The 23,377-nt window shown below is 44.8% G+C and overlaps 1 protein-coding gene across 12 annotated transcripts in view, besides 3 other annotated features; it reads left to right on the top strand.

Moving 5' to 3' along the window:
• WDR59 (WD repeat domain 59) overlaps nucleotides 1-21,999 on the top strand; it is a 113,762-nt gene extending 91,763 nt beyond the window's left edge. For 11 of the 12 annotated variants that reach the window (XM_047434642.1, XM_047434640.1, XM_047434639.1 and 8 more), the window contains 7 exons: nucleotides 796-877; nucleotides 3,546-3,658; nucleotides 5,042-5,192; nucleotides 5,606-5,678; nucleotides 6,965-7,091; nucleotides 7,566-7,708; nucleotides 18,917-21,999. In XM_047434642.1, the coding sequence (XP_047290598.1) occupies nucleotides 796-877; nucleotides 3,546-3,658; nucleotides 5,042-5,192; nucleotides 5,606-5,678; nucleotides 6,965-7,091; nucleotides 7,566-7,708; nucleotides 18,917-19,152 (925 nt within the window). In that variant the 3' untranslated portion in view covers nucleotides 19,153-21,999. Of the gene's footprint in view, nucleotides 1-795; nucleotides 878-3,545; nucleotides 3,659-5,041; nucleotides 5,193-5,605; nucleotides 5,679-6,964; nucleotides 7,092-7,565; nucleotides 7,709-18,916 lie in introns of those variants that run through there. The other variant, XR_007064915.1, reaches the window with a different exon arrangement.
• Nucleotides 16,957-17,682: an enhancer, noted in NCBI's record as "H3K27ac hESC enhancer chr16:74909577-74910302 (GRCh37/hg19 assembly coordinates)". NCBI's record gives its function as "activates a minimal SCP1, AML or CMV promoter by ChIP-STARR-seq in naive H9 embryonic stem cells {active_cell/tissue: H9 hESC(naive)}" and the evidence as "EXISTENCE:reporter gene assay evidence [ECO:0000049][PMID:30033119]".
• Nucleotides 18,411-19,136: an enhancer, noted in NCBI's record as "H3K27ac-H3K4me1 hESC enhancer chr16:74908123-74908848 (GRCh37/hg19 assembly coordinates)". NCBI's record gives its function as "activates a minimal SCP1, AML or CMV promoter by ChIP-STARR-seq in naive H9 embryonic stem cells {active_cell/tissue: H9 hESC(naive)}" and the evidence as "EXISTENCE:reporter gene assay evidence [ECO:0000049][PMID:30033119]".
• Nucleotides 21,342-21,890: an enhancer, noted in NCBI's record as "OCT4-NANOG-H3K27ac-H3K4me1 hESC enhancer chr16:74905369-74905917 (GRCh37/hg19 assembly coordinates)". NCBI's record gives its function as "activates a minimal SCP1, AML or CMV promoter by ChIP-STARR-seq in naive H9 embryonic stem cells {active_cell/tissue: H9 hESC(naive)}" and the evidence as "EXISTENCE:reporter gene assay evidence [ECO:0000049][PMID:30033119]".
• Nucleotides 22,000-23,377: the final 1,378 nt, after the last annotated feature.

The raw sequence follows: 23,377 nt of genomic DNA, 5'->3' as shown, positions 1-23,377 counted from the left end.
GGTTGTCAGCAGAATTCAGACCCTTGCAGCTGTAGAACTCATCTGTAAATTTCGTCTTGAGACCAGCAGGAATGGCTCACACATGCTTTACCTTCCCTCTAAGGCCTCACCTGATGAGGTCAGCCCCACCCAGGATAGTCTCTCTGTAGGTGACTTCAAAGTCAATTGCTTAATAACATAATCACAGAAGTGATATCCCATCAATATTCACTGGTGTCACCCACATTCAAAGGGGGTGGAGTATTGTACAAGGCATGCTACTTTACAAAGCAGAAGAGCTGTTATGCAAAGCAGGGCTACTTTTGTTTGGATGGAAGTGAGAGGTGAGTAATTGGCATGCAGAGGCCACCTGTAGTTCCCCTGCCTCTTCCTAAACTCGAACTCATAACAGAAAGTGTTTCCTTTGTAGTCTACACACAGCACACTACTCTTTCTGTTAGGAACCATAGTCAGTGTCGCATGTATTTCAATTCATTTTTATTCAACCCTCACGGCTTGGGAACTCCATAGAAAAGCTGGTTGGTAAATTGGTATTTGAGTATGGCCTGCCCTCCTGACTTTAAAGAGGTGTGCAATTTCAAGTTCCCCAGGCTGGAACCCACAGATGTATTAGCTTCAGCTCTAGTTAAGCTTTTCCTCTGAGTCAGATAGAAAGGGGGCCCAAGGCCAACGCGGAATAAAACATTTTGAGTGATAACCAAAGAGTCAGGTTCTCATCTGTCTGTTAAACTGGGAGTCGTTGATTTGGGAAGTTACACTAGAAAGAAATGTTTAATTCTTTTTAAAAAATTTCAGATTGAATGTGAATGATATTCAGGAAACATGTCAGAAGAATGCCGCCTCTGCCTTGCTCGTTGGAAGAAAGGATCTTGTCCAGGTATTGTCCATCCCTTTTGGTGGAGATTTGGATTTTTCTTCAGGAGCAAATTGTTTTTACTTTGTCATTGGCATTTAATGACATTTTCAAAGTGTGTGTCTTAATTTGGAATTCATTTTCCATTTTCTTTGCCAGTCTGTAGGGTTAGAGTGGCTTTCCAAATGCTGGAAATTTTTTCTTTTTGGTGCTCAGTTGGGAAGGTCCTAAAGCATCGATGAATTTTTTTAATTATACATCTCTTTTCTGTTCCAGTATCAGTGATTGCTGTGTAGCTAAACTTGCATGTCTATTTCTTTGTCATTTGTTCCTTCTTTCTAAAATGCTTCATTTTATGAAATATTTACCAAAGTGCTCCTTTAGATAGAGATGTTCAGTTTTAAAATATGATTTAACATGACAAATATTTAAATTTTCTTCATCTTTGCAGCAACATATCAGTGTATTATAACAAATTATCTCTGTATTTTTTTAAACGGCTTAACTGAGATATAGCCCATCTACCATGCAATTTGCCCATTTAAAATACACCATTCAGTGGTTTGTTTTTGTTTTTGTTTTTTTTGATGGAGTTTCACTCTGTCGCCCAGGCTAGAGTGCAGTGGCACGATCTCAGCTCACCACAACCTCCGCCTCCCGGGTTCAAGCGATTCTCCTGCCTCAGCCTCCCGAGTAGCGGGGATTATAGATGCGTGCCACCAAACCCGGCTAATTTTTGTACTTTTTAGTAGAGATGGGGTTTCACCATGTTGGCCAGGCTAGTCTTGAACTCCTGGCCTCAAGTGATCCTTCTGCCTTGGCCTCCCAAAGTGTTGGGATTACAGGCGTGAGCCACCACACCCAGTCTTTTTGTTCTTTATGCTCATGTTGAAGATATGTTTACTGTTTTGCAAAGAGTTGCAGAAGTAAATGCAAGAGTCACTGTTTCTGTTGAAGGCATTCAGGAAATGTGTATTATCAGTGAGGAAATAACACGTCTAAATTGTCAGCCAGGGTAGTAAACATCTTATCTCATCCCAGAAAGTCATTAACTTCCTCTAGTGCTGATTCACTAGGTTATTGATTATAGAGATGAATGTGAACTTCAAGTTTCTCCTTTTCGACAATACCTTCTGTATATTTTTCAAGTATGTTGGTGCCACGTGATTTAATTGATTTTGCATGCCTAATGCTTCTCGACCTGTTTCTCAGTATCTTTGTTTGCTTATTCTTTCTCCTTAGATTGTAAACTCCTTGATTCAAAGTCCATATCTTCTTTCTTTTGAGCATCTCAGAGTCTAGTATGTTTTCCAGTTAATGGGCATACAATGCTGTGCTGCTACTGAGAAAGGTTTTCCAGAAAATAGTATTTGATTTTTTTTTTTTTTTTTTTTTGAGACAGAGTCTCGCTCTGTCGCCCAGGCTGGAGTGCAGGGCGTGATCTCGGCTCACTGCAACCTCTGCCTCCCAGGTTCAAGAGATTCTTCTGCCTCAGCCTCCCAAGTAGCTGGGACTACAGGCGTGTGCCACCATGCCCAGCTAATTTTTGTATCTTTAGTAGAGACAGGGTTTCACCATATTGGCCAGGCTGGTCTCGTACTCCTGACCTGGTGATTCGCCCACCTCAGCCTCCCAAAGTGCTGAGATTACAGGCGTGAGCCACAGGGCCCGCCGTATTTGATTTTTAAAGGTATTGAGGGGGTGGGAACTTTGCTTATGACATGATGGGTTTAGCCTGTGCCTTGGACTTAATAGACACTTAGAGGCTATTGGTTTCTGCTCAATGGCTCCAGGCCCCATGGGATTTCAAGTCGGGGAGGTATTCCTCAGATTTGGTGTCAACAAAAAGAAAGCCAAATCCATTTTGTCTTGGCCTATTGTTATTATTGTTACTTTTTAGCTTCAGAGAGGATACTGAAACTTTTATAATGAAGGCAACAAAGTCTTTCATTATTTAGGAAAAGAGGGACAGATCTTAAATGTGTTATAGACTGCCTTTTTTTTCCTCCCTGCCAACCCAACTTACTGATGAAACAGCATTTTAAAAAGTCATGTGAGGCCGGGTGCAGTGGCTCACACCTGTAATCCCAGCACTTTTTGGGGCTGAGGCAGGTGGATCACTTGAGTCCAGGAGTTCCAGACCAGCCTGGCCAACATGGCAAAACCCCATCTCTACTGAAAATACAAAAATTAGCCAGGTGTGGTGGCACATGCCTGTGATCCTAGATACTCGGGAGGCTGAGGCAGGAGGATGGCTTGAACCCAGGAGGCAGAGGTGGCAGTGAGCTGTGATTGTGCCACGGCACTCCAGCCTGGGCGACAGAGCGAGACTCTGTCTCAAAAAAGTAAAATAAAATAAAAAGTCATATGAGTTAGTGGTTAAGTAGATGACCCACTGAAATTATTACACTGTGTCATTTCTCTGATGTTTGCTTAATGAAAAATTTTTAAGCCTAGTGTTTCTCAAACTTTAGAGTGCACATAACTCCCCTAAAGAGTTGGTTAAAGTGTAAACGCTGATTCAGTAGGTCTAAGTGGGGCCTAAACTTATGCATTTCAATAAGGATCCAGCTTTTGCTGCCCCCAATGTAGCAAGGCATCAGGTTTTATATGGAAGACAGGTGGGATTGCTTCATGGTTTCGGTTCTTGTCCTTGCCAGTTTGAGTTTGTATTTCTCTTTGATCTGTCCAGGTTTGGTCGCTGGCTACGGTAGCTACAGATCTTTGCCTTGGTCCGAAATCTGACCCAGATTTGGAAACACCCTGGGCTCGACATCCATTTGGGCGGCAGCTGCTGGAGTCCCTGTAGGTTTTGAGAGCTAAAAATGAGAAAAATGAGTGATGTCCATTTTTGGTCTGTAAACACTTGAAATGTCACCACCTAAGAGAAAGGTGCAGAGGCCCGAGGAATGAAAGGAAGGAGTAGGATCTTTCCTTTCAGTGCTGAAATAATTTCTGTGCAGAACAAACTTCTTATAGCAGACAGAACCATACATTACTTGTCATTTATAACAAGGATTTGAGACCCCTGAGACTCATGTATCCTTTAGAGATTCATGCTTTAGTCCATAAATCACATCAGTCTGAATACAGGAGTTTGAGCTCATGAGATGGTAAGTTTCTTCTTGAAAGCTCTAGGGTCTCACCCTTGAGAATGGATTAGAGAATTGCATGTTGGTGTTCATGTTTGCCAAAGACCACGACGCTTTCACCCTGTTAGGCAATTTGAGAAAACATTGCCTTTGCGTTCAGTTTATTGCACTGACATATGGAAAACTAGGGTATACTATACAAAATAATTTAACACCAAGTAAAACCACTTGAATCTCCATAACTTGGAGGCCCAGGGCCTGGGGAGAGAAACGCTCCTGACTTCAAGTTGAAGTTTGCTTAATTTATGCATTAAGGCCACCCCTGGGACACGTGTTCGTGCTTCCGTTTCCTTGTCACTAACACAGGGATGATAAGGTTTACTCTACTTATTTCGTGTAAGACTCAAATAAGATAGTGAGTGTGAAAACACAAATATTAGACATTGAGTGATAGGAGGACATTAATATTATTCATTCTTAAAGGCAAAGCCCCTCTGATTCCTTACTCACATTCTAGCATAATCTTCCTGAAAGGACAAAGGGGATATGAGTACCTAAAGGACAGAAACACTCCTTGTTGTTCTTACCTAATAGCTCATCTTCATAACTGCACCTCCAGAGTCGATTGCCTGCTAGCATGCTGTGGCGGTCCAGTGTCCTCTGAGCTCCTTCATGTAGCTTTAGGTTATATAAATGACATGTGTGGGAATCCCCCAAAAGCAGTGTGATTCTTCCTTGGAGCTGGGAAGACAGAGCATGTATTGGCTCGCTCAGATGTCAGGTTAGTCCACTTAGTTCTTGGAGAAGCCACATTCATGTTTAAGCCCATGCCTGAAAGTTAGCCAGAGGCTTTGAGATGCGTTCTGTAGATCATTTGTAGTACGTGGATGCCTTATATTCCAAAACAAGTTTAGGCAAACTCAAAGTAGGTCAAACTGCCGGATCTGTAGAAAGCCCCATTTCCTGATGGGTTTTTGAGGCAGAATCAAGACTCCTCCCTTCCCACCCCTGTGGCAGTAACACGCCATGACTGTGACCGCTTTCCTCCTCAATCCCTCCTCCTGACTTGTTTTCTTTCCTCTTATCTTTTCCTCAGGTTGGCTCACTATTGCCGGCTCCGGGATGTTCAGACACTGGCGATGCTCTGTAGCGTGTTTGAAGCCCAGTCTCGGCCTCAGGGGCTACCAAACCCCTTTGGGCCTTTTCCTAACCGTTCTTCTAATCTTGTGGTGTCCCATAGTCGATATGTAAGTTTGTCCTTTTCTGGTTTTGTCTGATTTTTTTTTTTTTTTTTTTTTGAGACGGAGTTTTACTTTGTTGCCCAGGCTGGAGTGCAATGGCATGATCTCAGCTCACTGCAACCTCCGCCTCCTGGGTTCAAGCAATTCTCGTGCCTCAGCCTCCTGAATAGCTGGGATTACAGGCATGCACCACCACTCTTGGTATATTTTTGTGGTTTTAGTAGAGATGAGGTTTCACCATGTTGGCCAGGCTGGTCTCGAACCCCTGACCTCAGGTGTTCCACCTTCCTTGGCCTCCCAAACTGCTAGGATTACAGGCATGAGCCACCGTGCTTGGCCTGCTGTTTTCTTAATGTGAACTGTCATGGGGAATGGTATTCTCATGCTAGTCCTGTTGGTTCTTCTCTTCCCTTCTGTAGCCTAGCTTTACCTCTTCTGGTTCCTGCTCCAGTATGTCAGACCCAGGGCTCAACACTGGCGGCTGGAACATAGGTTTGTATGGAAATGACTTAGCCCACGCTGGATTTTTAGTTCTCCCAGAGCTGTGCATATGTAACCTTTAGTTGATGCTTAGTCTCCATATTTTTTCTTATTTCTTATTTCTCTTTACATTTACTGTGATAGGGATACTCTTGCTGGAGGCCTGACTTTGCATGTTGAACAGACCACGTTCTGGGGGTCTTTGTGCCTTGCTGTGTTGCTTTTCATCTCTTAACCTTGAGAAACTGACAATGGGACTTCCCACTGTTCACCCCCAAAACCTAACCCTTATCCTTTCTCCTTCACATGCTCTTTCCATGTTCATCTGCCACCTACCGCTTCCCATGAATGCTTTCAGTGTAGACAAATACAGCTGGGCCTGACTCCAGTTGATCATAAAGCTGTTTGCTGAGTAAGGTGTATTTGTGTTTCCTGGATTTAAAAAAAAAAAGGTTTTTAAAATGATCTTAATTTTCCTGATATCAAAAGTAGCTCATGCCCAGTGAAGAAAAGCAAGCAAAAAGTATTAGAGAAGAAAATTGTAATTATTGATCTCCCACCTAGGAATAGCGTCCATTAACATTCTAGAACATTTGCATCCATTCTTTGTGTGCAGGAGTGTGGTCATTTGATATATGTGACTTTGTGTTCTATTTTTCATTATATCATGAGCAAATATTGTTCAAAAAGTCCTCGTAAATAATGACTATGTAATGTTCTACTGTATCTCTGTGCCATCATTTGCTTTATTTATTTATTTTTTTTAGTTTTTTGAGATGGACTCTTGCTCTGTCGCCAGGCTGGAGTGCAATGGCATGATCTCGGCTCACTGCCCCCTCTGCCTCCCAGGTTCGAGCGATTCTCCTGCCTCAGCCTCCTGAGTAGCTGGGATTGCAGGCACGCACCAGTACGCCCAGCTAATTTTTGTATTTTTTTAAGTAAAGACATAATTTCACTATGTTCGTCAGGCTGGTCTCAAACCTCTGACCTCAGGTGATCTGCCTGCCTGGGCCTCCAAAAGTGCTGGGATTCCAGGCATGAGCCACAACGCCCAGCCCATCATTTGCGTTAGCATCATGTGTGTGTACTTAGTGATCAAGTTCTCTTAGTAATAAATACCTGCGCAAAAAGGCAAGGGTAGGAGAGAGTTCTATTTAGTTATATTTCTCAGAATATTCAGCCTCGCTTAACATTTCTTCTGGGAAATCCATTGGCCACGTGCTGTCTTATGAGACTCTTCAGATATTTTCCATGCCTTCTCTGATTGCCATCTTCCCTTCCCATTTGATTTTCTTCAGCGGGAAGAGAGGCAGAGCACTTGTCCTCCCCTTGGGGAGAATCCTCACCAGAAGAGCTCCGCTTTGGGAGTCTGACCTACAGTGATCCCCGTGAGCGAGAACGCGACCAGCATGATAAAAATAAAAGGTAACCACCCTCCCAGGTGAGAGCTGCAATGCCAGGACTCCAGGCAGGACTCCAGTTTCTCCACAATCACAACTCTTACTTTTTTTTTTTTTGGACACAGAATCTTACCCGGTCACTAGGTTGGAGTGCAGTGGCGGGATCTCGGCTCTCTGCAACCTCTGCTTCCCAGGCTCAAGTGATTCTCCTGCCTCAGCCTCCTGAGTAGCTGGGATTACAGGCACACGCCACCATGACTGGCTAATTTTTTGTATTTTTAGTACAGACAGGGTTTCACCATGTTGGCCAGGCTGGTCTCAAACTCCTGACCTCAAGTGATCCACCCGCCTCAGCCTCCCAAAGTGCTGGGAGTGACAGGTGTTAGCCACCGTGCCTGGCCAGGACTGTTGCTTTAAGAAGGGTATATTAAGTGCCATTTAGGATGAAGCTTGTTTTTTCTTAAAGGAACTGACAGGAAATCTTTTTAACTTTATCCAGGCTCCTGGACCCCGCCAATACCCAGCAATTTGATGACTTTAAGAAATGCTATGGGGAAATCCTCTACCGTTGGGGTCTGAGAGAGAAGCGAGCTGAAGTGTTGAAGTTTGTCTCCTGTCCTCCTGACCCTCACAAAGGGATCGGTGAGTATGAATTTCTCTCTCTTCCTTTCACTGTCTGAAAGATCCTGTAATTTAATATGTCCACAGCCTCAGACTTGGAATGAAGTTTCAGCTTCTCATTTCTAAGCAGAAATTTCTGAGGCATTTTGAGTCTATTCCAAGCATCTGAAAAGCCCTTGCATTTCGTAACAGGATGAATTTTTTTTTTTTTTTTTTTTTTTTTTTGAGATGGAATCTCACTCTTGTTGCCCAGGCTGGAGTGCAGTGGCGTGATCTCAGCTCACTGAACCTCTGCCTTCTGGGTTCTAACTTCTCCTCCCTAAGCCTCCCGAGTAGCTGAGACTACAGGCGCCTGCCACCATGCCTGGCTAATTTTTGTGCTTTTAGTAGATGGGGTTTTACCACGTTGGCCAGGCTGGTCTCGAACTCCTGACCTCAGGTGATCTGCCTGCCTCGGCCTCCCAAAGTGCTGGGATTACAGGTGTGAGCCATGGCGCATGCCCAGGATGCAGTTTCTATTGCAACAGAAGTAGTTGATATACAGTACTCCAGCGCGGATGAGAGGGATGGATATTTCTTCATTTATTCCACTGTGTGTCCGACTCCTCTTAGGCACAGTGCCCACACATTCCTTCCCCCCATGGAGCTTACAGCTGAGTAGGGGGGAAAATTAAGTAATTTCAAATTGTGATAAATATTCGCAAGCAAACAGAAACGATGTGGGGGCAGGGAGAACAGAGAGGGAGAATCTTAGAAGAGGAATTGAGGTGTGTTGAGAAGGCCTCCAAGGAGCTGAGGTCTGAAGGTTTAAAGGAACCGTGGAGCCATCGGTGCAGAGTGGTGAAAAGAGCATCCCACACTGAGGGACAGGCCCCAGGGAAATGACTGTCGTTGTGAACAAGCGAAGGAAGGTGGCGTGGTGTGGTTGGAGTACAGTGGGGAGAAGAGTGATATCAAATTAGAGTGTAGAGAACTTAGGGTTATATCAGGCAGGGGCTTGTAAGTTGCGGTAAAGAATTTGGATTTGGCCGGACGTGGTGACTTACGCCTGTAATCCCAGCACTTTGGGAGGCCAAGTCAGGCAGATCACTTGAGGCCAGGGGTTTGAGACCAGCCTGGCCAACATGGTGAAACCCCGTCTCTACTAAAAATACGAAATTAGCCAGGCGTGCTAGTGCACACCTATAATCCCAGCTACTCAGGAGGCTGAGGCAGGAGAATCGCTTGAACCCAGGAGGCAGAGGTGGCAGTGAGCCAAGATCACGCCACTGCACTCCAGCCTGGGTGACAGAGCGAGACTCTGTCTCAAAAAACAAAAAGAATTTCAATTGTATCCAAGTCCAATGGTAAGCTTCCAAGGGCATAAGAAGTAAGCAGTGTGCTTTGGGTTGTGTTTTAAGAGGGTCACTGTGGCCTTCCTACGAGGAAAGGATGGGAGGAGGGCAGATCAGAAATAGGAAGCCCGTTCAGAGACGTTGTAGCGGTCAGAGGCAGACAGCCCGGTCTGAGGGTGGCATCGCTAGAGTTGGAGAGAGATGATGGATGGGTTAAAATATATTTTAGAGCTAGACTCAGTGTGACTTGTTTATAACTTGGATGTGGGATCAGGAAGAAAGATGAAACTTGGACGATTCCTAGATTTCCAGCATGAGCAACTGGGTCATTGGCAGTACCAGCTTCCCAGATGGAAACGACTGGAAGAACACTGTGGGCTTAGGTTGGGATAGTCAGTGATGTGTGTGAGATATCGGACTGGAGAAGTTGCATAGGCGGTTGGATGTGAGTTGGGCTCTCAGAGAAGAGATTGGGGCTAGAACTGGGAATTTGGGGATCCCCAGCATGTGGATGGCATTCCAGCTGTGGGAATGGGTGTGTTGACCCTGGAGCTGGGGCTGGGAAGGAAGAGTGCAGGGAGAGGCCATCTGCGCTGGGCCTTGAGAGAAACCAATACCTGGAGCTAGGGTCGTAGAGGAAGAGCAAGGCAGAGAGAGTTAGAATGAGACCCTAATGAGTGTTGAGGAAAAGCAAGACTGAGCAGGGAGAGGTGTTTTACAGAATGAAATGGAAGGCTGCCAAATGTAGTGGACTAAACATACACTGATCTCCTCTTCTCCAGGACCTCACCAAAATGTCTGTACAGAGCTCTTCTGAAAAGCCTAATTGTACAAGAAGTAATGTTGGCAGTAACATTTGGAATCTGGGAAGTGGGTAGCTTAGTGGCAGCTGATTTTGCAGGGCATGATAAAGCTGAACCCTGAACTGTTGTCGGAAGTACAAAACACTGCAGAACCCTCACGTGGCTCAGGGACCTCTGGACGTGGCTTTGACAGTGAGATTAAAAACCGGGGTGTGGCCGGGTACGGTGACTCACGCCTGTAATCCCAGCACTTTGGGAGGCTGAGGTGGATGGATCATGAGGTCAGGAGATTGAGACCATCCTGGCCGACATGGTGAAACCCCATCTCTACTAAAAATACAAAAATTAGCCGGGCGTGGTGGTGCGTGCTTGTAGTCCTAGCTACTCAGGAGGCTGAGGCAGGAGGATCACTTGAGCTCGGGAGGCGGAGGTTGCGGTGAGCCGAGATTGTGCCACTGCACTCCAGCCTTGGTGACAGAGTGAGACTCTGTCTCAAAAAAAAAAAAAAAAAAAAAAGCAAAAAACAAAAAAACGAAAGAAACAGTTAAATAAATGGAAAGGATTTCATCTAGGGAGCGATGGGGTGGGCAGTGGCAGGGAATGCTGGGTTTTGTAATAAGATGCATAGAATGATTTGACTCTTTTAAGTTGTGTAGGTATAGTTTCTTTTCCCTTCTTTTTCTTTTCTTTTCTTTCTTTCTTTCTTTTTTTTTTTTTTTTTTTTTTTTTGAGACAGTGTTGCTCTGTCGCCGAGGCTGGACTGCAATCATGCGATCTCGGCTCACTGCAACCTCTGCCTCCCAAGTTCAAGTGATTCTCACACCTCAACCTCCCCAAGTGGCTGAGACTACAGGCGCCCGCCACCACGCCACTTGTATTTTTAGTAGAGATACTACAATACAATACAATTAATAGGAATTTTTAGTAGAGATACTAAAATACAATACAAATACCACTTGTATTTTTAGTAGAGACGGGGTTTCGCTATGTTGGCCAGGCTGGTCTCGAACTACTGGCCTCAAGCGATGTGCCTGCCTCGGCCTCCCAGAGTGCTGGGATTACAGGTGTGAGACACCATACCTGGTAATTGCTATTTGAAGAAACAAACTAGAATAATACGTAGGTTTAGGTAGTGACTTTCAAGGATTATTTTAATAGGGATTATGTTGGTATACGTACTTGAAGAAATGTAAAGGCACAAAATGCTATTTGGGCAACATATTTTTTCAGAGCATCTAAATGTATGAAAGTATCTCAGGAAAAGATTAATGATGGCCTGGAGCAATTTGTCTTTTAAAAATTAGTTTTCAGGAAAACACCTGAATCATGGAGATACAGAGCTCATGTATCAAACCATCAGTCAGCTAAACCCTTATTGACATCTGCTATTATAAAGTGTCATGCGGGATTCTGTGGGATGTACAAAGAAATACAAAGTGTGGTTTGGTGGGTCAAGATGTCTGTAGTGCAGTCAGAGAGAATGAAGTATAAACTCAGGAAGACTTAATGATAGTTAAGGATGAATAATGTATCCTAATTCCAATAAAACCAATGTCACAAGATTTATAAAGCAGGGCAGGATTGTGAAAGATGGACTCACAGACAAAAGCAGTAAAAGAAGTATTTTCCTTTTTTTTTTCTTTTTTTTCTTTTTTTTTTTTTTTGAGACGGAGTCTTGCTCTGTCACCCAGGCTGGAGTGCAATGGAACAATCTCAGGTCACTGCAACCTCCCCCTCCTTGGTTCAAGCGATTCTCCTACCTCAGCCTCCTGAGTAGCTGGGATTACAGGCATGTGCCACTACGCCCAGCTAATTTTTAAATTTTTAGTAGAGACACGGTTTCACCATGTTGGCCAGGCTGGTCTCGAACTCCTGACCTTGTGATCCACCCACCTGGGCCTCCCAAAGTGCTGGGATTACAGTCATGATCCCCCACACCCGGCCAAGAAGTATTTTCATTTGCAAAGTTTTACAATGTAGTCCTGACTTTGGAGGAACTGGGCTGCTTCAATACAGGACACAGCAGGTATTGAAAGAAAAGTATAGGCTAGGTGCAGCTGCACACACCTGTAATCCCAACACTTTGGGAGACTGAAGCAGACAGATTGCTGGAGTCTAGGAATTCGAGACAAGCCTGGGCAACATGGAGAAACTGTCTCTAAAAAAAAAAAAATTAAAGAAAAAAAATACCCCAAGGCTGTCAAGGCCACAGGTCTTCTCTTTGCACTGGAAAGGCAGCAGTTTCCTCTGTGGTAATCTTGTCTGCAAGGGTCATCCCATATCCACAGACTTCATCATAGCAAATTTGAGTTAGTTTCATTGGGATTCAATATTTACAGACGGGGCTCATGGTTTCATTCATTTTGTGGGGATATTGCTAGATAGAGTATTCCCTTAAAGAAAGTCTCAGGATATAAGATGATTTTTTGTTGTTTTTGTTTCTGACTGTGGTATATGATGCGCTTGGTCTTAATGGTGGCAGAGCAAAGCGATCGCTTTCCCAGCCACCCCATGGGGAGAATTCCCTCCATAGAGGTAGAGATCTGCTCACCTAAATTTCGTTCAACAGTTTACTGGTTCAGTATATTCATTTAACGTCTTATTTATTTGGCCAGTTTTATTTACTTTTGTGTAATAGGTGATGTTGATTAATACACAAAACTTTTTGTTGTATGGTTAACAAACTGGAGCTGTATGACCCTGCACCTTTGGAGTTTACTTCCTCCTGGAAGTTTTGAAAAGCCTTGGAATCATACTTTGATTGTTCTATGTGCTGGGAGTATTTTTATGGTCTTCATTAGTTTGTCCGTTAGGACCCAAGAATGATTCATTTCACCTCTATCAAGTTTCACCTGCAAAACCTATCCTGTCGTCCTGTGCCTCTTACCTGTGATCCTCAGGGTAGTCAGTGTTTCTGGCCTGTCAGGAAATGACATCTGTACTTTGTGCAAGGCTGGGATTCCCTAGGCCAAAGAAGTTTCCTGGGAGGACTTGTGGGCTTCATGTCCACATATGAAGCCATCTCCTCCCCTTCATAATGGCTTATCATACCTAACTTATTTTTTTAATTAATTAATTTATTTATTTTTGGAGACAGAGTCTCACTCTGTCCCCCAGGCTGGAGTGCAGTGGCGCGATCTCGGCTCACTGCAAGCTCCGCCTCCCAGGTTCACGCCATTCTCCTGTCTCAGCCTCCCGAGTAACTGGGACTACAGGCGCCTGCCACCACTCCTGGCTAATTTTTTGTATTTTTAGTAGAGATGGGGTTTCACCATGTTAGCCAGGATGGTCTCGATCTCCTGACCTCATGGTCCTCCTGCCTCGGCCTCCCAAAGTGCTGGGATTACAGGCGTGAGCCACTGCACCCGGCCGTATCATACCTAATTTAAATGAGATTTGAATCTAAATGTGACATTTTGGGCATGACCTTGGCTGTAAATCTGATCTATCCATGTATATCATGATAAGGAGGAAGGCAGCTTCTTTTATTTTTAATTTTTTAAATTTTTATAAAATAGAAACAGAGTCTCACTTTGTTGTCCATTGTGGTCTCAAATTCTTGGCTTCAAGTGATCCTTCCACCTCAGCCTCCCAAAGTGCTGGGATTAGAAGCATGAGCTGCCACACCCAGCCCCAGCAGACTCTCACTGAACCTGTATATTTTGTCATGAAAAGAAAAGGCCTTTGTGTGGTACTTACCCATTGTTCTGAGCATTTTTGCAGATGAGGTTAATCAACATATGATATTTCCTATGGGGTTATTGTTCTAAGGTTTTCCTGGTGATTTGATATCTTATAATCTATATTAAGATCTTTTTTGGTTTTTTTTTCTCCTGAAGGTAATTAGAACAAGATACTATTTCCAGAGTGTTTCATTTCAATGTATATAACGTGTTAAACTGAGGGTAGAGATGGAGCAAGAAAGAAGAAAGAATGTTTTCTCCTTTCTAGTAGAAAATAGATCATTAGCCAGAATTAAATTTTTCCATCAGTTGTATTCAGTCCCTGCTAAGTAATTCTTGTTCTAATTGTCTTGGATTCTCTACCCATCTACTTTGACTGAAGTCATCTGCTTCTGAACCAAAAAGTCCTAGAAATCCTGATCCATTCCACAGTCTGACAAGTGTCTCCTGGTGGTAATGCTGTCAGCTTATTTGTTTGGCTTGTTTGTTTGTTTTTTGAGACAGGGTCTCACTCTGTCACCCAGGCTGCAGTGCACAGGCATGATCACAGCTCACTGCAGCCTCGACCTGCTGAGCTCAACAATCCTCCCACCACAGTCTCCTAAGTAGCTGGGACCACAGGCATACACCATCATGCCCGGCTAATTTTTAAAAAAATGTTTTTGTAGAGATGGAGTCTTGCCATGTTGCCCAGGCTGGTCTCCAACTCCTGGGCTCAAGCGATACCCCCACCTCGGCCTCACAAAGTGCTGGGATTACAGGCATGAGAAGCTGCTCCTGGTCAGTGTCAGCTTATTTGGAAAGTTGGTATTCAGGAATCTCTTCAGTAATATCAGTAGTGAAGAGTACCTTTAATAGTGCCTAAAGAGGCTTTATTTTGACATGTTTTCTCTAAGTTTCTATTTCTGGCCTATAGTTTATAGGAAGCGACTTTAGGCAAGTGTGAGGCAAAAGCCGAAACCGGCAATTGGCAATAAAGCGAAATGGCTCTGGCTAGTTTATGATAACAATATCCTATGGAGCAGAATCATTTCCTAAGGATTCAGTCAGTGATTCCCCAACACTAAAATATTTTGGACACTGAGGACGTTGACAAATCTCCAGGCTCTTTTAATTCATCCCGTAAAATGTTTGTAAGGTTATTGCCAAACGAAAGGAGTACTATATTTTCTTTTTACTTTTGTTTTCTTTTTTTTGGCGAGGGGGTGGGAACAAGGTCTCTCTCTGTCACCCAGGCTGGAGTGCAGAGGTACAGTCTTGGCTCACTGTAACCTCCACCTCCCAGGTTCAAGCAGTTCTCCTACCTCAGCCTTCCAGGTATTACAGGTGTGCGCCGTCACGCCCAGCTAATTTTTGTGTTTTTAGTAGAGATGGGTTTTGCCATGTTGGCCAGGCTGGTCTCGAACGCCTGGCCTCAGGTGATCCACCCACCTTGGCCTCCCAAAGTGCTGAGATTACAGGCGAGAGCCACGGCACCCGGCCAAGTACTGTATTTTTATTTTAAACATAAAACAAATTTAAAAAATAAATTTGTTGAAAGATATGCCAGTCTTTGTAATAGATATGAGTATCCTTCAATTGATCTTGAAAGAAGTTGCTGAAAAATTCCCATTAATAATCTTGTACTTGAATACAGTTCCCCAGGGAGGTTGAACTTCCCTATTTGATTTCTTACATTGTGGGTTTAATAGATACGAGAGCTCTTACAATAATGCTAAACCAATTAAAAGTATAGAGAATACAAGACATTCCCAGTCATGTCTGGCTTCCTCCTTCCTATAGTGAGGGAACAAATCTGTAGTGTTGGCCACTTGTCATTTGGGGAGTTATACAGGTAGCTGACGTTTATAGTAGAGAGTGAGAGCTTTATTCTTCCAAATTTGGGAAAGGGCAGTTTGAGAAAGAGTTGTCAGAGGTGATTGGATATAAGCATAAGTTATTACATGCCTAAAGACAAGACATTGCAACATACTTGGTTCAGAATGATGTTATTTAAAATAAACACAGCAGGCGGGGCGCGGTGGCTCACGCCTGTAATCCTAGCACTTTGGGAAGCCGAGGCAGGTGGATCACCTGAGGTCAGGAGTTCGAGACCAGACTGGCCAACATGGTGAAACCCCCTGTCTACTAAAAATACAGAAATTAGCCGGGCATGTTGGCAGGCGCCTGTAGTCCCAGCCACTCAGGAGGCTGAGGCAGAAGAATCGCTTGAATCAGGGAGGCGGAGGTTGCAGTGAGCTGAGATCGCACCATTGCACTCCAGCCTGGGTGACAAGAGCGAGACTTCGTTTCAAAATAAATAAATAAAAATCAATCAATCAATAAATAAACAGAGCAGTAAATAATTAAGAACCCTAGACTTTTCAGAAGTAGACTTTTGTTTAATGTGATTCAAAAGCATGACAAAAAACACCAAAAATTAACCAGCTGTCAAGTGAGATAATTTTGGTGCTGTAAGGAACCTCTCTTATCCAGGCACAGAATCACATTTGACATTTTCTTCGTCACTGAACAGTTTTCTTTGGAATTGTTGTTTTTTTCCTCTTAAAGTGTATATCGTTTAATTTTGTTTAAAAATGTTAAGATACCTTTGTGTGTTTGTGTGTGTGTGTGTGTTTTGAGATATACACAAAACCAGCAAATTTAAATCTTTTAACTTTAAAATATACTGACTTATCAGCACATTCAGTAAGACAATACCCTCACCGCGTTGATTGATCGTTTTAATAAAACTGGAACATTTCCCTTGATGAACTAATAGAACACATCAATTATCTTGAATACAGATTCATATCTCATACTTGCAAGTGGTATCTGCTTTGCAATTTGTATCTAGTGTAGCCCCAGCCTCCCAGAGTCATTCTTCTTCCCTCAGAGACCCAGAGAAAACCTGGAACCATTAGCGACCGGCACGATTAGTGGATTGTCAGGGATATTCCAAAGGCAGCCAGGTGTGAGACACCTTGCCAGCTCTGTTTTTGGGAACACATTCCACATCCCTTTGTATGCCCTGAAGTGGTGAGAGGAAGCACGCACCAGCAAGGCCCACGGGCATCTGCCTATCCTTCTCAATCGGTTCATACGCTGAGCCATTCCATTGTGTATATACAGGGCAGAGGCAAGGGAGAGCGTCCTGGGGCTTTTATGTTTTCTGTCTTTGTGAATTTAGATCTCCTTAGAAATTGTCCAGATCCCCCCAAAGATCATTCGCTAATTAACGAAATGAAATATTAGTTCAGGGTCTTAAAGTTAATAAGGATCTTGAAAACTATATTTAATCCGATTCACTGTAGAGAAACACAATTATTAATGATACTGTGAGATGACATTTTAATAATTTTACCCAGATAGATATGGAGAATAATTAAGTTTACAGTTATCTCAAGTACCAAGGAACAAACCCTTTTAAACATTAGAATTAAATTTACCTGAACACACAATATTTACATTCTCATAATGTTGGCCAATAAAACCAGTAATGAAAATTTGAGAGTTTTCAACTAATTAGGCTTTTCATGAGAACATAACCAAAGTTTGTACATAATATAAAAAATTATGCTTAGAGGGAGAAGACATAGCTATTTTTAAACCAAAATTTTCAAACCAGTCTGATTTGTCTCAAGATTTGCCTTAATTGGAACTATCATAAAATATGCCCTTAGGTACCACATATCAGAGGAGTTTTTATTGGCCTTTTTTTTCTGACCACCAGTTGTCATTCAACAGAGCAGCCAGTTCTGCTAGAAGAAAGGACCCTCCCTCTGTTGTAAGAGGGAAGGAGAGGTGGGAGATTGGAAGATGCGTGGTGTAACGACGAAGGGAAGTGAGAGACGAGGCTGGCAGGTGCAGGAGCCGGGAGAAAAGGCATGAGGGAAGAGTTTGCAGAACGTGGTGGAGGCCCGAAGTCACCATCTCGGGGACAGAAGGGAAACACAGGCTCCGCGCAGGGCTAGGTGTTGTGTCCGTTGGTGATCGCGTGTATGAAGTGAGATGCATTTCTTGAACATGGGCCTTTCTCCAGGATTGCTCAGCCTCTTGTGGGCAGGCATGGAGTGGGCAGGTGATATGGGTCATCCAGGGTAGAGGTTTTGCCAGGTGGTGCAGGAGATGGGCAAAGGAATTGAAGGCATTTGCAAAATAAGTGATTATAAAGTGAGTCCATGTAATTCAGGTTGGCCAAAGGGCAAATTGCAGCTAGAAAGGGGCAGGTGGACTGAAGGGTTAGTGGTGATGGGTTAGGGATGAGGGCAAAGACCTGAATGGCCGGGTGGGCACTGGGTTAGTGGTGTAGGTTTGGGAGACCTCCAGGATCATCTAAGAACTGGGGTAGAGAGAAAATTGAGAGCCAAGAACAAGTCTTCAGTGAGTGGGGGTGTGTCTCCAGAATGTCCTCAGATGACACAGAGAAAAGGGGGAAAGGCTGGTGAAGCTGGATGACATTGGCCTCCAGCAGAAAGGTCAGTCTGGAGGCAGCGATGGGACACAGTCCCCACCCACTGCCCCTGCAGTCAGAGGACTTAAGCAAGAAATGGCCTTTCATCCAAAAGCCAGCAGAGGCAGGAGGGTCAGGTGATGAGGGGACTATTGCCAGCAGAGTAGATAGAGCAGGTTTTACTCAGGGTAGCCCAGTGGAACCAGTCCCCGCCCGGCGGTGGAGCGGCATCCCGGTGTCCTGACTTGGGCCAGTGGCGAGTGGGCAGTAGCAGGCGTTGGTAAAGCCAGTCTGCCCTCTGCTGAAGTGTTACTGCTGAGTCATTCAGTTCTTTCAGCTGATACCTGTTCAACACCTCCTGCGTGCCAGGCCCTGCCAGCCGTCGGGGTGGGAAGAGGCATCAGACGCAGCTGCCCCCTGCTGTAGGGCACTGGGTTTCCATGCGGAGCCCCTGAGAAAATACAGTACTCAGCAGCTGGGTGCAGTGGCTCAGAAGAAGGAGTTCTGGTGTAAAAAAAACAAAAAAAAACAGGCTGGGCACAGTGGCTCACGCCTATAATCCCAGCACTTTGGGAGGCCAAGGCAGGTGGATCACCTGAGGTCAGGAGTTCGAGACCAGCCTGGCCAACATGGCGAAACCCCGTCTCTACTAAAAATACAAACTTAGCTGGGCGTGGTGGCAGGTGCCTGTAATTCCAGCTACTCGGGAGGCTGAGGCAGGACACTTGAATCCGGGCTGTGAAGGTTGCAGTGAGCCAAGATTGCACCATTGCACTCGAGCCTGGGTGACAAGAGTGAAACTCTGTCTCAAAAAGAAAAAATAAAAATAAAAAAAACAGAAAATGAAAACCACTGGTCTAAGAGAATCTGCTAGAGTCTTGAGAGGAAGACTTCCTTCTTCCTGGCAAGCCCCAGTTTCCTTTTTCAGAACTAAACTCATGCTGCCTCTTGTTTTGCCCGTCCCTGCCCATTTCCAGAGTTCGGCGTGTACTGCAGCCACTGCCGGAGTGAGGTCCGTGGCACGCAGTGTGCCATCTGCAAAGGCTTCACGTTCCAGTGTGCCATCTGTCACGTGGCTGTGCGGGGATCGTCCAATTTCTGCCTGACCTGTGGGCACGGTGGCCACACCAGCCACATGATGGAGTGGTTTCGGACCCAGGAGGTGTGTCCCACCGGGTGTGGGTGCCACTGCCTGCTTGAAAGCACTTTCTGAACCTACAGAAGTTGGGTATTGTCTGAAATCCCAGAGGACCCATAAGTGCCGGTGACAAGCTGTCTGTCAGGGGAGAGGCTCCAGAACCTGGGTTCGTCCCCAGTGAGACCGGAGGATGATCCCCCAAGGACTGCGCAGCATCAGCTCTTGGTGGGCCTCTGCCTTCTCTTCTGTTTGGCCACCTGGTGTGGATGTCACTGTGTGAAGATAAGGACAGAAGTGCAGAGCTGCGCTTTGTGTGTTGTCTATGTCGGCTGAGCTACCAAGGTGGAAGTTTTCATGGAGAAAAGCACCTGGCTCCAGGGCCAGTGTTACAGTGTTACCCTGTAAGGTGTTAGCCTTAAACCACCGAGCAGCGTTCTCTTGATGCCAGTGCAGAGACCAGAGTCAGATGCCCGAGGACAGTGGGTAGGAATTTCATCAACAAATGGACCTATGGCATCATGGCTTTAGAAGCTGGTACATTTACTGAGCTGATGGACAGTGGCCTTCTAAAATATGACACTTAAATTGTAAATATGCACTGTACTTAAGGATTCTTAAGATGTATTTTTTTGTTATTTCTCCTCCAGCTGCTATCCCTTGGCTAATAAAATTCTAGTAATTTGAAAAAAAAAAAAAAGAGAGAAAGTTAAACAACATTATGGTGAATCATTTTTTACCCTAATTCTAATTGAAGGTAGCTATTTTGAATAGGACCAAAGTCAGTGCTCCGATTTTTAAAGGAAATGCTGATTTACTTTTGTCATCTGACAAGAGAAAATGGAATTTGACATTTAAGGTTCTTCCTAGCCCCAAGAGTCTTATTTCTTCTAGCAAAAGGAGGACAAGATTGCCGTGCAGCATGGATAGAAAAGTCTCCCTGGCCAGGCCCCATGGCTCATGCCTGTAATCCCACACTTTAGAAGGCAAAAGTGAGGGGATCACCTGAGCTCAGGAGTTCGAGACCAGCCTGGGCAACATAAGGAGATCCCATCTCTGCAAAAAATTTAAAAAATAGGCCGGGCACGGTGGCTCATGCCTGTAATCCCAGCACTTTGGGAGGCTGAGGTGGGAGGATTACCTGAGGTCAGGAGTTCGAGACTAGCCTGGCCAACATGGTGAAACCCCATCTCTACTAAAAATAGAAAAATTAGCCGGGCATGGTGGCGGGCGCCTGTAATCCCAGGTACTGGGGAGGCTGAGACAGGAGAATCGCTTGAACTTGGGAAGCAGAGGTTGCAGCGAGCTGAGATTATGCCATTGCACTCCAGCCTGGGTGACAAGAGTGAGACTCTGTCTCAAAAAAAGAAAAAAAAAATTAAAAAAATAGCCGGGTGTGGTGGCACATGCCTGTGGTCCCAGCTACTTGAGGGGCCGAGGTGGGAGGATCACTTGAGTCCAGGAGGTTGAGGCTGCAGTGAGCCTTGATTGCACCGCTGCACTCCAGCCTGGGCAACAGAGTGAGACCCTGTCAATAAACCAAAGTCTTCCTTGCCTCTGTTCAGATGGGCTGGGTTCCAGTGAGTGCCCTCACTCTTCCTTTAGGCTCCCTCGCAAACTGCCTGTGTTTGCCTGTGTTCTGAGTAGTTATAACATCTGTGTCCACCAATTCTTCAGAATGATTTTCTTTTTTAAAGTTAAATTTTTTTTTTTTTTTTTTAGAGAGAGAGACAGGGTCTCACTCTGTCACCCAGACTGGAGAGTGGTGATGCAATCATAGCTCACTGTAGCCTCTATCACCTGAGCTCAAGTGATCCTCCCACCTCAGCCTCCCGAGTAGCTGGGACTACAGGTGTGCACCACCATGCCTGGCTAATTTCAGAATGATTTTCAACTTCACATTTTGTATGTGCCAGTGAAAAGAAATCTTTTTTATTATTTCTACTGAAATATCTATTTCTGTTTCTTAGAATTTTACAGTTCCAAGTAGATTAGCTTAGGGACTAGGACATGTCTCATAATGGGAGAGCATTGCATATTCATGTGTTTCAAACTCCAGGTCAGGACCCATTAGTGGATTGTGACATTGATCTAGTGCGGAAAACCAGCATTTAAAAAAATGAAATGGTGTAAGAGAAAAATGATCACAATGTACCATACATAGCTAAGGAAAATGTTTTGTGTAACTTGTTTACGTGTGTGCAGCACATGTGTGCACAGGTGTATACCGGATCATAGCGTAAATTCATTTCTTACTGAAAGTTGTAGTCAAAACATTTTCACAACACTGTTTTGGATGAAGCTTATACCTCGTCCCCTGTGTTACTGGGCACAAAACTTCAGGATGTAAGAAAGAACTGAGATCCTGTGCAGTGGAACCAGAGGTTTAGTGCTGGGCTCTGGTCTGAGGTAAGGTGCCAGTGTCTCAGTAGCGTGAGCAGGGCGGGGGAGCCGCTGGGAGGATGACAGGAGAAGGCCCAGCCGGGAATTTGCATACACAAATTCTGTTGTAATGGTGATCACAGAATAGGTTGGCTGATTTACACAGAGAGAAAGGATCTGTTGTGTTCCTCAGTGAAATCACACCATTTGCAGAGAGCAATCTTTTCCTGTTCCCCACTGCTCAAGTTAGTGTAAAAACCTGTCCCTATCTGTCCCCATCAAGAATGAGATGTTTTTCTTGTTTTATTGTTGGAGGAACATTGACTTTCAAAATTGAAAAACCTTAATGGTGTGAAGAAATTTCGAGTTTAAAATATTACATAATGTCATCCTTCAATACGGAAATTCCTTTTGAATTTCCAAGTTACCAGAACAAAAGTCTAATATTTTAAAATATTCATGTTTGGAAACAGGTTGGTTGTCTGGTTGCGGGCCATGGCCGATATTCTCTCAGCCGCAGAATAGATGATTACAAGCACCTGAGTCTTTTGTTTGTTTATTTGTTTTTAAGAGCAATACAAGGCCAAGTGGGGTGGCTCACGCCTGTAATGCCAGCACTTTGGGAGGCCGAGGTGGGTGGATCACCTGAGGTCAGGAGTTCAAGACCAGCCTGGCCAACATGGCGAAACCCTGTCTTTACGAAAAATGCAAAAATTTTCCGGGTGTGGTGGCGGTTGCCTGTAATCCCAGCTACTCAGGAGGCTGAGGCAGGAGAATCGCTTGAACCCGGGAGGCGGAGGTTGCAGTGAGCCGAGATTGTGCCACTGCACTGCAGCCTGGGTGACAAAGCAAAACTCCGTCTCAAAAAAAAAAAATGAATAAAGGCAATACAAGCTATGTTTGAAAGTACCTTTGCAAGAAAACAGGCCCAGCAGTCGTATTTGTGCACCAGAAACAAAAGGTTGCTCAGGCAGGATACTGGAAAGGATGGGGGAAGGGGCGAGCCTCAGGGCAACCACCAGGTTGACTATTTGTCCCTGTCCCTAACCCCCCCAAGACACAAATGGTATAATGCTTTCTTTGGTAATGTCACATAGATAGAATTGATGTTGCTTTAACAATTTTTTTTTTTTGAGACAAAGTCTTGCTCTGTCACCCAGGCTGGAGTGCAGTGGTGCGATCTCAGCTCACTGCAGTCTCTGTCTCCGAGGTTCAAGCGATTCTTCTGCCTCAGCCTCTTGAGTAGCTGGGATTACAGGCGTGTGCCACCATGCCCAGCTGTTTTTTGTATTTTCAATAGAGACGGGGTTTCACCATGTTGGCCAGGCCAGTCTCAAACTGCTGACCTCAAGTGATCTGCCCGCCTTGGCCTCCCAAAGTGCTAGGATTACAGACGTGAGCCACCGTGCCCAGCCAACAATGTTTTGTTTAATTTAATACAAAAATGCATTCAGTCTGAAGACGCCAAGTTCACCTACTGGGAGCTCGTTCCCTTACTCAGTGGTTCCCTGGGTGGCTGGTAGGATTGGGGAGAAAGCCAGCTCCTTTTTAATGGTTTAGTGCAGCAGGAACTCAGGAGAGGACCTAGGCTATAGCCACCCTAGTGTCGGGGTCTTTGAGATGGAGTCTCTCTCTGTTGCCCAGGCTGGAGTGTAGTGGCACATGTGATGTCTGCTCACTGCAACCTCCATCTCCCAGGTTCAAGTGATTCTTGTGCCTCAGCCTCCTGAGTAGTTGTGATTACAGGCGTGCGCCACCACACCCGGCTAATTTTTTTTGTATTTTTAGTAGAGACGGGGTTTCACCATGTTGCCCAGGCTGGTCACCAACTCCTGACCTCAAGTGGTCTGCCCGCCTCGGCCTCCCAAAGTGCTGGGATTACAGGCATAAGCCACCATGCCTGGCCCCTGAACAATTTCTT

The sequence above is a fragment of the Homo sapiens genome, chromosome 16, assembly GCF_000001405.40.
Source record: "Homo sapiens chromosome 16, GRCh38.p14 Primary Assembly".
Lineage (NCBI taxonomy): Eukaryota > Metazoa > Chordata > Mammalia > Primates > Hominidae > Homo > Homo sapiens.
The sequence above is the reverse complement of the archived record's forward strand: the minus strand, read 5'-3'. Positions and strand labels throughout refer to the sequence as shown.